Source organism: Homo sapiens, chromosome 5, assembly GCF_000001405.40.
Source record: "Homo sapiens chromosome 5, GRCh38.p14 Primary Assembly".
NCBI classification, from domain to species: Eukaryota; Metazoa; Chordata; class Mammalia; order Primates; family Hominidae; genus Homo; species Homo sapiens.
The window spans coordinates 168,207,716-168,223,854 of record NC_000005.10 but is presented as its reverse complement, the minus strand read 5'-3'; the positions used below and the strand labels follow the sequence as shown (position 1 = coordinate 168,223,854).

Below are 16,139 nucleotides of genomic sequence, written 5' to 3'. Positions count from 1 at the left end.
TTAATGGTGGTTTTGCTGTATGGAATTTTGACGAATCTTCATTTTCTTCTTTGCATTTTCCCATAATTTAGAAATTACTTGTAATCAGCCGGGCATGGTGGCTTGTGCCCGTAATCAATCCCAGCACTTTGGGAGGCTGAGGCGGGTGGATCATGAGGTGAGGAGACTGAGACCATCTTGGCCAACATGGTGAAACCCTGTCTCTACTAAAAATACAAAAATTAGCTGGGCGCAGTGCCGTGTGCCTGTAGTCCCAGTGCTCGGGAGACTGAAGCAGGAGAATCGCTTGAACCTGGGAGGCGGAGGCTGCAGTGAGCTGAGATTGTGCCACTGCACTTCAGCCTGGCGACAGAGCAAGACTCCGTCTCAAAAAAAAAAAAAAAAGAAATTACTTGTAATCAATACTTTCATGTTTAATAAACAGAAACAAAAGGTATTTAAAACATCAGAAAACAAAGCAATTCTAAGTATTTGGATACGGGGTGTCTAGTGCGGTACTCAGTAACAGACAGTTTCTCCTCCTGCTGACAAGTACATTCTCTGGGACCAGGGCAAGGATTTTAATTCCAATCCACTGTAGTTTGGGGACACTTACAATGCATAGGCTGCTGAGTTTCCTTATGAGAGAAGTAGTAGGAATTGGAGTTTCTACTTTAGGGAGCAGAGCTTTAGGGTAGGGACTAGAATCTCATGGGCCAAAGGGAGAAAAACAGATTTTCTTTAACTTTTAAGAAGATTCGGCTGCCTCCAGCTCTACTTACTTCCCCCAAGGAACGTCTTCAGATGTAGGTCTTTTTGCAAATGACTGCATGTAGGAGTGAAGCGCTGTAAGTTCCAGCAATGGGATCTCAATGCCAACCCAATGGAACTGGCCCAGCCTTGGCTGGAGTGGGGCTGGAGGCTGCCTTTGAATTATGTAGTCAATAAATATTCATCAAGCACCTGTGATGTGCCAAACACAGTTCAAGGCACTGGAGATACGGCTGGGAAGAAAATGGAGCAAAATTCTTGCACTCATGCTAGCTGAAGAGGGCAAAACTAAACCAAGATAGAAAATAGACAGCATGTCAGATGGTGAGTAATAGGTGCTAAGGACTAAAATAAAGAAGGGAGGGAGTGGAGAAGGAGAGAGTATAGGGAGTAGAGAGTGTAATTTTAAGGACAGTACTGTTCTTTTCAGGAATACAGATGCATCTTCCCTAGTCTGGGAACTTAGCAGGCATGATAGGGTTTCCAAAAGGCATTCTGTATCAGCTCTATTTCTGCCCAGCTCTTCACTTCCCAGGACAAAGAGGAGAGAGAGGCAACTTTTAAAGGGGCCCATTCCAGCCTTCATGAATTGCATGGCAGCTTATTCTGTAAAATCACTCTTGAACCCCACACCATGGGAAGTCAACTTCCATCTTTTCCTTTGATCTGACATTTGCCCCTTCCCCAGTTGCTGGATTGGGAGAAGGAGTTGAACATGACTAAAGAGGCTCTTTATCATTTCTGTCTTCTGGAGGGCCTCTTTTTAAGGGTGATGTGTTTTTCTGCCCCTCTGAGCCCGAAGTTTGCTAAGGCAGACTCTGCTCCTGCAGGGGATGAGAGACCAGCAGGCAGCACTGGGAGGTGGGAAGAGAGCAGGAGAAATGCAAAGTGAGGTATTAAAAAGACCTAATGTGCAAGCTGCATTCTTCAATTCTGCTTTTCCAAAATAAGTCTCTATCTGTCTGACTCTTGTATCCACTCTACAGTTAGTTGAGTGAAACCTGAGGGGTAGGAAGGAGACAGAGGTGTGCTTAATAATTCCTCTCAAATCCCATTAGCCTATACTCTGAGTTAAACTTCTATATGCCAAGCGCTTTGCTAATTTCTAAAAATGTATTATCTCAGTGGATTAGCACAGGGCTCCTGTTGTTAATTTGCATTTTTATCCCCATGTAACAGATGAGACATTGAGGCTCAGAGAGGTTAAATAACGTGTCCAACGTCAATCAGTAAGCATGTGGCAGAGATGGACTCCACACCCCTGTCATCCTGGTCCTAAGACCTAGGAGCTTTCTGGTATAAGATGCTGCCTTTTGGGGAAGACTGTGAAAACCTGAGTTCCCTCAGGGATGAAACTAAATCAGGATACTTCTTCTATCAAGACCCAGTGGCCTGCATCTGGGGAAATCTTAATTCCACGGTTGGATGTCCTGGAAGTTTCTGGAACTGGCTGATCATAAAATGGGTCCAGGAAGATTCGATAGTGTTATTTTTTCCTACCCCTTTCTCTCTCCTGCTTCCAGAGTCATTGATAGGCTGGTCTTATTGAGTTACATCTTCCCAAAAATTCAGGGACAGTTCCCATGTGGAGTCTGAAGGTGGAGTTACAAATTCCATTCATAGCCCTGCTTTACAACGCTAGTGTGCAATGCAAAGAACGCTGGGCTTGGAGATCTGGATTCCAGTCCTGCTTCACTACCAACTCCCTGTGTGGTCTTAGGGGAGTCACTTCGATTCTCTGAGCCTCAGTTTCTTTATCAATAAAATGGGGATAATCAAATCCATATTTAGACAGTCACTGTGACAACACGGCAGATAAATGGCTTCTGTACCTCATGTTCTATGCAGAAAAAAAAGATATGGCCACTCTTCTCACCTATAGGGGGATTTGTACTCTGCCCCCTGTAACAGAGTGGGAAGAGAGGAATCCCCCTAAGGAAGCTCTCACTGAAGGACAAATCATTTTCTTTCTTTCTTTTTCTTTTTTTTTTTTGAGACAGAGTGTTGCTCTGTCGCCCAGGCTGGAGTACAGCTGCGTGATCTCAACTCACTGCAACCTCCACCTCCTGAGTTCAAGTGATTTTCATGCCTTTGCCTCCTAAGTAGCTGAGACTATAAGTATGCACCACCATACTTGGCTAACTTTTGTATTTTCAGTAGAGATGAGGTTTTTCCATGTTGGCCAGGCTGGTCTCAAACTGCTGGCCTCCAGTGATCCTCCTGCCTTAGCCTCCCAAAGTGCAGAAATTACAGGCATGAGGCATCACTCCCGACCAGGACAGACTTTTCTAGTAGCCTCACAGCCTCTGTGTGGTTTTCTTCATCACCCTTTCTCTAAAGTTTTGGCTAAGGCTATGCAGTGTTGGTCTTGACCACACTGCCCTGACAGGAGGTGAAGTTATGTCTGATTTTTAAGTTGGCTGTGTGTCTTCCAATTGGCTGATCATGTGCCAAAAGTGCCATAAAACAAAAAGAACTCACCATCTTTTCAGGTAGAAAAGAAAACCCTATACATTTGAACCCCACAATGGAGAATTTGTGATCACTGGATTTATCTACATTATGAAAAAAAGGGCAGCTTATCAAATTAAGATAAAAAAATTCAGTTTCAATGTAACTTCTGAACATTTTAAAACACAATTACGAGTCATGCCTATGTTTTCATTAAACTAGGGACACTTTCTGGAAAATACTTTCCCTTTTAGAGTTCAGATCTGTGGATGCACTTGAACCCAAGCTTCTTTATGACAGTCTGTAAACCAGGCCCAGTTCAGGCTGGCCTCCCTGAGAGGGATGTTTTTTCCCCCTCTTTCAGGAGAGCCAACAAATTGTTTCTGAAATGCATTAGGTCTTTGGTTGAAACTGTCAGAAAGGAAGATGAAAATCTCGGAGGTGTTTGGGTGAGTGTATAGCTTCAGCCTAATTCGGTATGAGAGCCAAGGACAGCACTCGGATGGTACCCTCGAGGGCAGAATCACTGGCTGGTAAAGTTTGATCAAAACTACAGTGTCCTGAAGGGTATTAAGATGCTTCAGAAATCTCAAGCATCGTTAAGGTGCTTGAGAAAGAGTTGCCCAAAGAAGAAAGTCAGAACCAGGGGAAGCAATTCTTCTGCAATGCACTAAATATCCAGCAGGTGGCAACAGCTTCCTTTTACATTCTCCCAAGACCATTGGCATACAAACAGGAAGTAAACATTGCCGGGTTTAGGAATGATCAACAATGAGGTTTTCTGTTCTCCCTCTTGTCCCCCGCTTTTTTTTTTTTTTTTTTTTTTTTTGCTGTGCCAACTCTCCCTAACTTAACTACATTCTGAGCTAGCAGCAGCATCCAGACAAAACACAAGCAAGGACTCCAAGTACACAGGGGTTAACACACTCCTTCATCACCTAGGAGAGCCAGATATTTATAAATTCTGCTCCAGTCTCAGCCAGCCACTGGGAGAATCATGCCTAGTAACTTCCTCCAACCAGCATCCCACCATTAGTACCTACAGCAGCAGACACTTTGACCAAGAACTGCCTGCAGGAGCTAGGAAAAACAGCTTTTTGCAAAACAAGCGTCAGGACTATTAAGTATGAGATAATTGTTAGGGGAAATATGACCAGCTCTCGCATCTTTTAATATACCTAATGCTTTATCTGTATCGATCTGCTTCTGCTAAGGAGGAAATTCAGAGTTTATCTACCTGTCTGTGCAATCAAGTGTGTTGCTGGACCTATTGGCAAATTACAGGAACCCCACTGGGATCTTGCCTTTTAGATTCTAATTTCCGCACCCATGGCAAACTTGAATAATCAGCAAAGTTAATCAACATTTTACCTCCCAGGTGCTGTGCATGTCCAATATCCTGAAATTTGAACGGCAAGCAGGCAACAGGAATTCCCAACTCTAGTAGGGAGGATGCTCAATATCAGAGATCCATTAGAGCAAATCATTTCAGAGTCAGGGAGAGGGGACATGAATGTCTTGAGGCCATAAGACATCATTAAAGTTAGAAAGACAACGTGACAAAGCAATTTAAAAAGCTACACAAGCGACCCAGTCCTAATGCCAGCTAGGGCAAGGGAAGGGCTCTTCAGAGATGCTTTACAAACCCACTTACTCATAGAAAGTCGTCCATCCTGTTTCATCGCTCTTGGTGGCCAGGAGCCCAGTGTTGCCATCATAGGTCATGAGACCAAGCTCCAGGTTCTGTGTGGACACGACTTTGAGGCCTCCATTGGTGCCCACGGTGAGGGTGATGATCTGGTTGTCAGGCATGAGCAGGTGACGGGGCATGCCACTGCTGTCCCGACGGATCTTCAGGGAATTCCCATTATTGTCAATCAATTCAGTGACATCATTGTCAGTACTATATGTGAAATTGTACAAGTACTCCCCTGTCACCAGGCTCACAGTGTATTGGTGGATGCCATCAGCGTTGAAAACATATAACTCCTGCTCTCCGGGGGATGCAGCCTCATACTGGTTGAAGGCATTAAGAACAGGCTTGTTCTTGCTGACCGCCCTGATCCGAATATTTCCAAGGTCTGCAATGTAAATGGTACCATCTGGAGCTACAGCTAAGGATGATGGGGAATTCAAGATGGCATCAGTCGCGTAGGCATCATCTCCTGAATAGCAGTTGCAATTGACATCGTTTTTGCAGTCGCAGTCCGAGGCTGCCCCAGCTAAAAGGCAGATCTCCCCGTTGGTTGTTACCTGGCGTAGACGGTTAATCTTCTTCTCATCTGTCTCAGTGATGTAGAGGACCCCAGTGTGAGAAATGGCAATGGCACTGGCTGACTCCAGGGCAGAGTGAATGGCTAGTTTGCTGAGTGAGTAGTCAATGCCAGGAACTTGGCAGTGCATGGGGCGTCCCGCAATGATGCTGACTTGGTGGTTCTCGGTGATTCGAAGGATGACATTGTTCTCTAGAACATACAAGGAGTTATCCATGGGATTGACAGCAAGGTCTGTTGGCCACTCCAGACGAACCTGTGGATGACGTGGTATCAGATTAAAGAACAGCCTTTAATATGTCCAACGTTTAACCGTACGGCACTTACTGGTTTTATATATCTAGGAAAAAAGACAGCTTTTTAATAACACATTGTATTAGAAATGCTCTTCATTGAACCAGCTGCTCATTGCCCATGATGAGTGGGTGTGATGGAGAAGAAGAGATAATATAATATATATTTTCTACCGTGTCACCTGCCATGACCAGAACAGGCCATCAGCTCTACCTATGATGCTGCTTCTCAGCTCCAGATGGCTGGACCAGCATCAGAGCTGTTACATATGGTTGCACAGGTAGTTCACTGCACAAGAGACCATGCCATCCAGCCCATACTCTGCTCTCCAAGCAGACGCCTACGGAAGCTATGTACATTTAGAGGCGGCACCTGTATCTAATTCACAAAAAGGAGCCATGTGACTTGGAAGATGGCTCTGATCCAAGGGGAGCCAAAGTGCAGGCTCTCCAGCAAACTACAACTTGAGTGTCTGCTTTAAAAAATAAACGGAACCGAACGCATCCTTCCTCTATGGAATTTGAAATAAAAATCTCAGTAGCAAGTTGTCTGTTGTGGAACTTGAGCTGAAATTTATGAGGCTCGCCAAGGGTTGAAAAGGCCGTTATAGAAAGGCTGAACGTATATTCCAGGCTGTCTGAGAACAAATGCTGTATATTTGAGTGAGCCTCTGTTCTCTGCCTCTCTAACAGCCCAAACTAAACACACACTTTGGGTGATATTGTAGAGGGCTCTGCTCTAGTTACTACTGCACAAAGTAAAGGTTTATATAGTGAGGATGCAGTCATTTCAGATTAAAGGGGAAGTTCTGATTGACATATAACACTGTACAGTACATTCTCAAACCTGCAATAATGATGGAGAAGGGAGGTAATTACAGAGCAGCTTCTACCCTGTAATCTGCCACGGCTGGAGTGTGTCACCAGTTCCACTTTTCTCAACAGTTTTCCCTCTCTCTTGCTCTCTCTCTCTCTCTCATACCTATCTGACATTTTCCACTCCATCTTACTGTTTAGCTCATCTCAGGCTTTCTCCAAACAACCCCGTGATCTGTATCTGTATCTCTCCCTCCCATTCCACTTCCAAACCAAACAGGAAACAGGTAAGAACCTCAGGCCAAGGGGCAGGTGTTGCTTAGTGAAGAGAAATAAGAAAGAGTCTCACCTGGGCTACATCCATGCTGGAATCACAGCTCAGCGGCCGGACGGCAGTGAGGTCATTGGAGCCCAGCAGGGTGGAGATGATTCCATTCTGGTCAACCTTCCGGATCATGGTGGCATCGACAAAGTACATGAGCCCATTCTTGTCTACTGCAATACCTGAGCAAGACAAGCGGTGTGGATTTATCTCTTGGAAAGGTGTAGGATTGCGGGGTGGAGGTGGGAGATGAGATGCCTTGCTGAGCACTCTGCTTAGACCAGAGACCTTACTGGAATTGATTAGTACCCTCAGAGCAGTGGTTCTCAGCCTTCTAACGCAAGATCCTTTCCCATGGGCACTGTGCTGGGATTTGTATAGTTCCTAGGGTGCTGGCTATATCACCACCTTCTTCCCTGCAACTGACGAAAGCATGCTCCTTGGACTGCAAATGAACCAAGGCCGCAAATGAATGAAGCAGGAAATAACTTTGCATCTGCTCTCCTTAGAAAAGAAGTTATTTCCTAAGTTCATTACCCTAAACATTATTAGTAGTAAGTTACTTGAATATACTTCACAACCGATTGCAGCAGTAATGCTGAGAAATGATGATTCTTGTAGTTACAAACTCCTAATTCAAGGTGTATGCTTCAGGAAGTATTCCCAGTTAAGCTTGACTCCAATCAGCACTTCAATGCCCCAGGGGGACACTGGGGCCTAGCATTCCCCTGTTGCAGCAGGGCTGGAAAGGCACAGATATGGCTTCTATTTATTTTGTGTCTTTGCCCCAGTGCCCAAGTACAAGGCTTTGCCTCCTTAATCCATGCTGCCCTGCTGCTTTCACAGTAGCTAAAAATGCTAACAGGAATTGGACTCTCAGATGACTGCTCCTTAATGTTAAGTATTTTTAGTCCTTTTCAAATAGAGACCCATGGGTTCCCAGAACTCCTCCATCCTGGACCCCTGGAAATTATACCCATTCTTAATTACTACCATTTATTGGGCATTTACAACATGTGAGGCACTGCACTTTCGACTTCATACACATTTGCTGTCTACCACGGAAGTCTGGGCGTGGCCAGAGGCCCCTCGCTGGGCTTTGTTCTGTCTCCAGCCCACACAGCTGGCACTGTGGCCCATGGAGCCAGGATTTCCTCTGATTCTCCTGACTGGCAGCAGTCAGAAATCTCCAGGCGCAATCCCCTTCACTTTCCACTTGGAGCCTATGTGCATGATAAAGTTTTCTTCAAATAAATAAATAAGGTTTTCTTTTTCTTTTTTGAGACGGAGTCTCGCTCTGTTGCCCAGGCTGGAGTGCAGTGGCGCGATCTCGGCTCACTGCAAGCTCCGCCTCCCGGGTTCACGCCATTCTCCTGCCTCAGCCTCCTGAGTAGCTGGGACTACAGGCGCCCACCGCCACGCCCGGCTAATTTTTTGTAATTTTTAGTAGAGATGGGGTTTCACCATGTTAGCCAGGATAGTCTCCATCTCCTGACCTCATGACTGGTTTTCTTTTTAAACACCCATCCACACACCAAAGCAATCTATCTGAGTTAAATGATTACAGGGAAAGCTGTGTTTTGGACTGCTGGACTTAGTTAAGTTCTGATGAGAAGAAAGCCAAGCTGGTGGCAAAGCTTTATCTGGGGCGGGAGACTCTTCCTTGATGTCCTTTACCTCTCGGGCTCATCAGGGTTGCATCTATGGCCTTCCCTCCATCCCCGCAGCGGGCTTCATCAAAGGGTAGACACTGCTCTCCCGTCCCTGCCACAACTTCCGAATTCCCAGCCAGGTCTTTGGTTCCACTCAGAGACTTGACGCGGTAGATTCTCCTGCTGTTGGTGTCGGACACGTAGAGCGAGCCGGACACGGGGTCCACTGCCAAGTAGTACTTGTGTGCTGGGTTGTTGCTTTAGTAGAAGAAGCACAAAGAGAAATGAGGAGGGGGCTATGGAGCTGGCCTCCTAGATCAAAGGAATGACAAAAATCCTAGCAAGACGCTTACCTTCTCTAGTGTCTTTCCACTTTAGTGAACTGGAAAGAATCTAACATCAAACTCAGTGTTCTAACACATCATGGTTCTTAGCTACTTCTAATTGGACTTATGCTTCTTATGCTATTAGAAAATTCATTTCCCACCATGCTAAACAACTGTTGCTTCATTTAGCCAGTACGAGAGCTCCCACTCCGATCCTGTTTTTGTAAGCAGGATAGTTATTCAAGACCATCTACAGTCCATGTGTGTGCAGTCTCCTTAATTTCCCCTTGAGGGCTTAGTGTATTCTCAAGTGGGATAGAGGAACACTTCCATGTGACAATGTTCTCATTTTAACCTATGCTTCCAGGGTACTAGGCCATTAATACCAGGGTGACCTGGAGTTTTCCTAATTTTATCATGGGAAGCACCCCATAACCGCCCCCAATCTCCAGGCTCAGAGCTTGCTTCTTTACTGCTCTTCAGTGTGGACATGGATAAAGTTGGCATTTAGTGTAAAGAAATGTGGGTATCTTGCTGGTACTGTGTCTGGAATCTGAATTACTGAGACAGGAGATGCACTTTTCAAATCTAGGTAACAGTGAGGTCACAGGCGTGAGCCACGGTCTGCCAGGGCTCCCAGCCACACTAGGGGATTAATACCTTTGTGTGTGTGTGAAGTGTATTAGGAAGGCGTGAGCCTCTGAGACCTGGGCTGCTTCCCCTGCCATGTGTCTGGCTGCCCTGTGTGAGGCTAACTAGGACAGAGTAAGACTTGTAGAAGTGGCTCAGGACTAAAACACAGGAAACTCTAAACTCAATTCTGACCCAGCTGGTGGTGACCTTGGTTAAGTCATTTGACTGTGTCAGGTCTTAGCTTTTTTGCAGGGGCTGGAGGGATTAAATCAATCATACTGGATATTGCTAATGTTCCTTCTGGCTCAAAACCCTGCAGTTCTTCCCTTTGTAGTGCCTGTCACTGGTTTGAGGTTGGGACCAGAATAGGTGCTCATGTTATTCCTATACTGGTTATTACAATCAGCACCTCTAGGATGCAAACAGTAATTGCCTTTCTGCCTCAGTGTGGTAGACTAGGTTTTGAAATGAGCACAGGCCCCCTTTATTTTCCCCTGCTATTTTATTTTATTTTTCTCAGAGACAGGGTCTCATTGGAGAGCAGTGGCACAATTCTAGCTCACTGCAGCCTGAAATCCCTGGGCTGAAGTGGTCCTCCCGCCTCAGCCTCCTGAGTAGTTGAAACTACAGGTGCATGCCACCATGCCTGGCTAATTAAAAACCTTTTTTTTTTTTTGGTAGAGATGGGGTCTCACTATGTTGCCCAGGCTGATCTCAAACTCCTGGCCTCAAGAGATCCTCCTGCCTTGGCTTCCCTAAGTGCTGGGATTATAGGTATAAACCATGCAACCAGCCTTTTCCTATTATTTTTCAATTTTACTTTGGGGTGATGGGAAGACAGGGGCTGGGAGAGGTGGAGGGAAGGTGAGAGAGATGACAGCATTGGATGCATTTGTCCTGTTGACATTAGCTAGTAAATTACTAATTAAAACACCACCATTTGGGGTCTTCTCTGATTTAAGGAAAAAAAAGAAAAGAACTAGGAAGCTATTTTTAGGAACAATCTGGGTGGAGTTGAGATGGTCTTTCATTCCCGTTTCTCTTCAGGTTGCTATTAAGACACATCCCTGAACTAGAAGTCAAAGTTTTTCTGAAATTCCAGCCCAGATAACTAAAGCGTAGACTACCTGGTTTCATTCCTTTCCTTTCCTCTTTTCTTCTTCTTTTTTGGCTATTAAGTCATTAGAGACTATCCATATATGCAAAACAAATTAGGGCAGAAAGGGAAAAATTCATGCCATTTTTTAATTAGATGCTGCACTCTGTTACTGAATGAACAGTAGCTGGCATTATCAACAGAAGGATCAAGGCATTGCACATCTGTGCCTACCTATGAGAGAGATAATTAATTTTGGACTTTCTAGGGAGCCTGATTTGAGGAGGCTTTTCAAAAGCTCTGGCAGAAGAGCAGGCAGTGGTGGGTGTGAGGTCAGTTCTTGCTTAGGGAGACCATTCTTCTCCATGGTCTCATACCTGTTTTCACCAAGATGCTTGCAGAGAAACTCACGTCAGAGGGACAGCCATGCCTCCATACCTGTGGCTGTGGCAAAGATCACATGAGGTTGGTGAATTTCCTGGAAAAATGTCCTTCCAGGGCATTTCTACTCATTTTTAAAATTTGGCTCAAATGGGGTGCCTATAACAGGCCAATTTTGGGGTGCCTGAGAAGAAGACAGAGGACTTTGTCAATGCATGGCCTTTCCACTGACTGTTATGATCTTGTGCAATTTGACTCTACTTTTTGTCTAATTTTGACCTAATATCATGAAGGAGAGCTGTCCATGTTTCATTTCAAAAAGTGAGCAGAAGCATTCCGTTGAGTAGTGGTACAGATTGCTTTGTTTTTTCTCTTCTTCTGAATAAAAATAAGGTCATTTTTCCTTAAGAAAGCTCACACTATCTTCATTTCAGTGTGGTTCATGTGTGAATGCACGTGTATGTGTGTTTTACACTTTATCTGTGAATTGTACTAGTGTGGTTTTAAATGATAACCTTGGATCAATGTAATGACCAAGGCGGTTTTGACAAAGAATACTTGGTCTCCATCCTTCAAACTATTCAAAAGTGATTTTACTCCATGAAAATTCTCAATGCATCTGACTGTTGGATTCATTCTGATCAGCAGATTGGCAATTAACTTTTTTTTTTTTTTAAAGATGACCATATATCCAGGGGAAAAAATCATTAATGAGTTGAAAATGAGTTTTTAACCCGTTTCCAGTTCATTAAAGCTTTTGTGAACCCAGTCCAGCATTTACAAAAGCCAGGAGTTTGCCTCAACTGTTTAGCCCAATTATGGACCGCACTGAGCAGTCGGGATAGAAGTTCGCTGAGGGTTCATTATCTTGCACTTGAATCTCCCGGAAATTCTAATTACTGTCAGCTTATTTGGTTGCTTTTTGACTGCATTTCATAATTGCTAAAGCTTATCATATCCACAACACACAATTAGCACATAAAAAAGTTACTATATTTGGTACATAAAAATATACAACATTACACAAGAAGCACAAAACAAAAAAAGCAAACACAAGGAAGCAAACGAACCATATCAAATTATATGGGAAAGAGTTCTTCATCTTACCTATGTTTAAACTCTTTATTTCTTTATAGAAAGAAAACAGAAAGGAAAAAAGAACAAACAGTTAGCAGAAGAATTGATGATAAAGCAAACATAACATTTTTGTTTCTTGTATAAAGGGGCCCAAAAAAGGCAGTCTTTTTCTTTTTTCCCCTGTAACTGACAACTCCTGGCTCAATAGCTTGAGAAGTGCCCCTGATTTTGGACTCCTCCCAGACATTGGACAATCTGGACAAGAAAGCTTGAATTCTCTCATCAGCAATGTGGCTGTCACAAGACAGAGGTGGCAACAGGTGAAATATGCCTCCTGACTAAGGAAGGGATGGCAAACAGGTTATATCTTGGGTGCCAACATGTGTTGGCCAGTAATGGCCACTGGGAGTGTGGTGGTAGAAGGATTTTGAAACCAAATTTAATATCAGGTATAAAGAGTACTGTGACTCACTTGCAATGTCCCCTCTGAGTGTGGGAGGGAGGATGGTGACACATGTACCACCTATTTGCCATTGGTGCATTTCAGGGTAGAATGAGTACCACCCAAGAGAGAGACCCTGCTCACAGCCTACTGCAGTTGGGCAAAGGCTGTTGAACCCTGAGACTCTGAACCACTTCCTTTCCCTGCTCCATGTCACCTTCATTGTCTCCTTTTAACTTGGGGTGGGACCCCAAATATGCATTCTTTCTAAAAGGTAACGTCCAATATTGCAATAACGTCCATAAATGAAATTTATAGGTAATAATATCCTCTTGGAATTGGAGTCAAAGACTCCAGTTATCATTTCTTATCAGAGAACTAGTAAAAATTTTGTTGTTGTTTTAAGGGAAGAAATACATTCAATTTCAATAGGAAATTGTGGCTGAAAATTGACGTGCCAGAGACGAGAAGATGCCAAGGTCTCAATTAAGGAGAACCACTCCCATTCTCGAGGCTTCTAGGCCAAAGTGGAAGAAACCCCTGACCCCTCTTTCCCTTTCAGTTGAGGAGAAAGGCTTCAGGGAAGGGACAAAGAGAGTTTAATGCCCTGATTTCTGCTCAGGTGTAGCTCAGTCCTCTGCCGGGGGCCATCATTAGTGGTGGGTTTGCACAGGGATTACGTTTTTATATTTTATTCCAATGTGTTAGTTTTTGCAAAAAAAAAAAAAAAGTTAATTAAATGATGCTGATAACTTCTGAGCTCTGACTGACATAGTGCAATTTAAGATTCATTCTGCAAAGCCTGGTGTGTCAGGGTGGCAGCCGGGAATTCTCGCGTCTATTTTATATTGCTTAATGAAAGTGAAATGTTATCTGCCACCAGTGGTAGTCATATTTGGCTCTTAATTATTGCAATATCAATTTCACTTTTTAAAGTCAAGATTTTGTAAAAATACTGGATGGGATTTGGGTCTGCAGGCCTGACCTACTTCTTTCCTAAGAACATCTGCTTTCAGTTGATTAATATAAGATCTATGTTGGGGGAAGGAGAAGGGCGGGGTGAAGGATCAAGTTGTTGGAGAGTGTAGAGCCTGAATGATCATACGAATATGAGCTTTGGAGAAAGGCTGAGGTCACTGCTATTCCAGTCCAGGATCACAGCAGGCTGGGTGCTTAGCAGGCAACAAACCAGAATAACAGCATCACCGAGTCAGTCTATGCAGCTGGGTACAGATGTCCTACTTACAAGGGATAGGCCTAGGCTTTGTGTGCATGGTTTTAATACCACAGACTCTTTAGGTGAGCCCTTTGAGGAAAAAGTGGTGTTTCAGATGGGAGAATTGAGATGGATTAGCTCTTCTTCACACTGCAGGGTCTCAATGATGTCTCTGGGAAGCCTTCAGGGTCTCTTGTGGCATTCTCAGCCCGTCTCTCAGAGCTGCCATCATGCTGTCTGGTGATTTATGTTTGTGTGCCTGTCCCCCTCAGTTCTTTGTGAATAGGACATGACTCAGTCATCTCTGAATTGCAGATACTTAGTAGAAGGCCCAGGAGAGAGTTAGGGCTGGAAAAACAGTTTCTTGAGTGAAGGAAGCAAGGAATGAGGCTGCTTCCCTTAGTGCTGGGCAGACTTTGCCTTGGACTAACTCCAATCCCTCATGTTCTGCTCAGAATTACAAATCTGTAATCAGTGGAGACTGTTGTCTTTTTTCATTCCAACTCTCTCTGTGCCACATTTTCCCCTTGAGGAAGGTGCACTTGGAGTAGCCACAGGGTTGTTTTGTTGTTGTTGTTCTAACTAAAGAGAAGTTGACTTGGGGTGCATTTGGTTTAGTTTCAGGAGGATGAGCTCATGTGGCTTGCAGTCCCTTTAGCACCCAGTTAAATGGTTGCTAGCCATTCTTGAATAGGAATGTCTTTGAGGAATGCTCCTGCCCTACAATGTTGATTTGTCTAGCATCACTGCAGAGAGTAAAAGTCCCCATGTAGAATTCATATTTCACTAATACAAGGACATCAATGACAAACTGGTTAATGAGCATCATTTCAAAGACTATTTAGATTATTCACTCCACAGGAAAATCTGAAATGCCCAGAGATATTAAAAAGGAAACTTGATAAAGATTTTCCCCAATTTTATAACTCTAATGATTTACACATCACCAATAATCAATTATGAACACAAAAGAAACTTTTCTAATTTATCAATAATATGAAACTAATTTTGATCAGCCCTACTAAAGACTGAAAATCCCTCTGTTCTTTCTATAGATAATGAAATTACAAAATAACTGTGATATTAAAAGATGATCAAAGATATGCAGCCAAAAAGTATAGAAAAACATGTATCATGGAAGTGTTACAGGAGTTAATTAATAAAAATATTAGGTTATTTGTGTGGATTTTGTGATGTTTGTGATAGAATTGGCTTTTCTAAACTTTGCAATTTTTTGGGTTTCCTTTCTCATCCTAAATATTCCATTTCATTTCTCATTTCATATTTATAATTTTAGTTTTTTCTTCTTAGATAGAGCCTCTGAAATTGTATTAGTCTTAGGCTTCATAAAATCTGGGTTCTACCCTTGGTAAAAAGACTTTGAAAATAGTGCCAATCAGTCTCCAAAATTTTATGGGGACATTGTTTTTACTTTTATTCGGGATTGAGTGCTTCATGACTTTTCTTTCCTGACCCCCATTTTCAAAGCCTGACCACATAGGAAAAGCATTTCCGTTCTTTAAGTGGAACCACATAGTCTTCCCTAACAGTCTACCTGGTCATCAAGCAGGGTCTGTCCTGGCTGAAACTCTCAGGCAGAGCTTGTCCTTGCTGACGCTTCCTTCCAATGTCTGCTGGCTTTGCCCGCCTTCCCAGGCTCCCACTTTCCCCCCGCCCGGTACTAACATATCTGGGTTGGACATGTCCCTTCTCTGAAGGTCTCCTCTAATGATTGGTGCCCTTGACTCCATGCTGAAAGCACCATCAGAATGTCAGCATGGAGAAGCGGTTTAGTTGGAAAAAAGCATGTTTAATATCATAATATTATTTTATGTTTAAAAAATAAAAAAATGGAAATTTCAAAAATTATGTAAGGTGTGAGATTCTTATGTTTATTAAAAGGAGCTAAGCTAAGAAAAGGGAGAGAGATACCGTCCCATCCCGTATAATTTACTGCCTCATATTGAGGTCTAATTCCTAAGATGTTCTAAAACTGGGGAGGGAGAAAAGATTTTGCTATGAGAGAAATTCCCCCTATAATGTTAGTGACTGACAAATTTACTCTGCTCCAGGGCTTTAGGTTTTCCAAAGACCACTTGGAATGGGCAGTGGGAACTGGACTAGTAAAGATGGGATATCAGGCTTCTATGGGACAGGAGTATGGAAATGTCCTAAATGTCTGCCTAATCAGAGCACGCAGGTGATAACCATTTTACCTAAGAGAAGGCTCTTTGTAGCATCAGAAGTTATTTAAGTGTATAGAACTTGTCCCTGCATGTTTTGGAGAGACAAAGGAAGGAGGAAGGGGGAAGGATAGTGAGAGAACCATGGAAACATTTCAATAGGATCCCAATTCAGAGGCTCAGCTCCGGGGTGGGTAAGCGAGATAGGGATGGGCACTGACTCCCGAA

General features: G+C 43.6%; 1 protein-coding gene across 33 annotated transcripts in view; it reads right to left on the bottom strand.

The window, feature by feature from the left end:
* The window catches only part of TENM2 (teneurin transmembrane protein 2), a 1,285,129-nt gene that overhangs the window by 40,303 nt on the left and 1,228,687 nt on the right, over window positions 1-16,139 (bottom strand). For 19 of the 33 annotated variants that reach the window (XM_047417418.1, XM_017009661.2, XM_047417420.1 and 16 more), the window contains 3 exons: window positions 8,583-8,815; window positions 6,933-7,087; window positions 4,856-5,730 (listed from right to left, as the gene is read on the bottom strand). In XM_047417418.1, the coding sequence (XP_047273374.1) occupies window positions 4,856-5,730; window positions 6,933-7,087; window positions 8,583-8,815 (1,263 nt within the window). Of the gene's footprint in view, window positions 1-4,855; window positions 5,731-6,932; window positions 7,088-8,582; window positions 8,816-12,100; window positions 12,122-16,139 lie in introns of all 33 variants that reach the window. The other 14 variants (NM_001395460.1, XM_005265950.3, XM_011534604.3 and 11 more) reach the window with 1 other exon arrangement.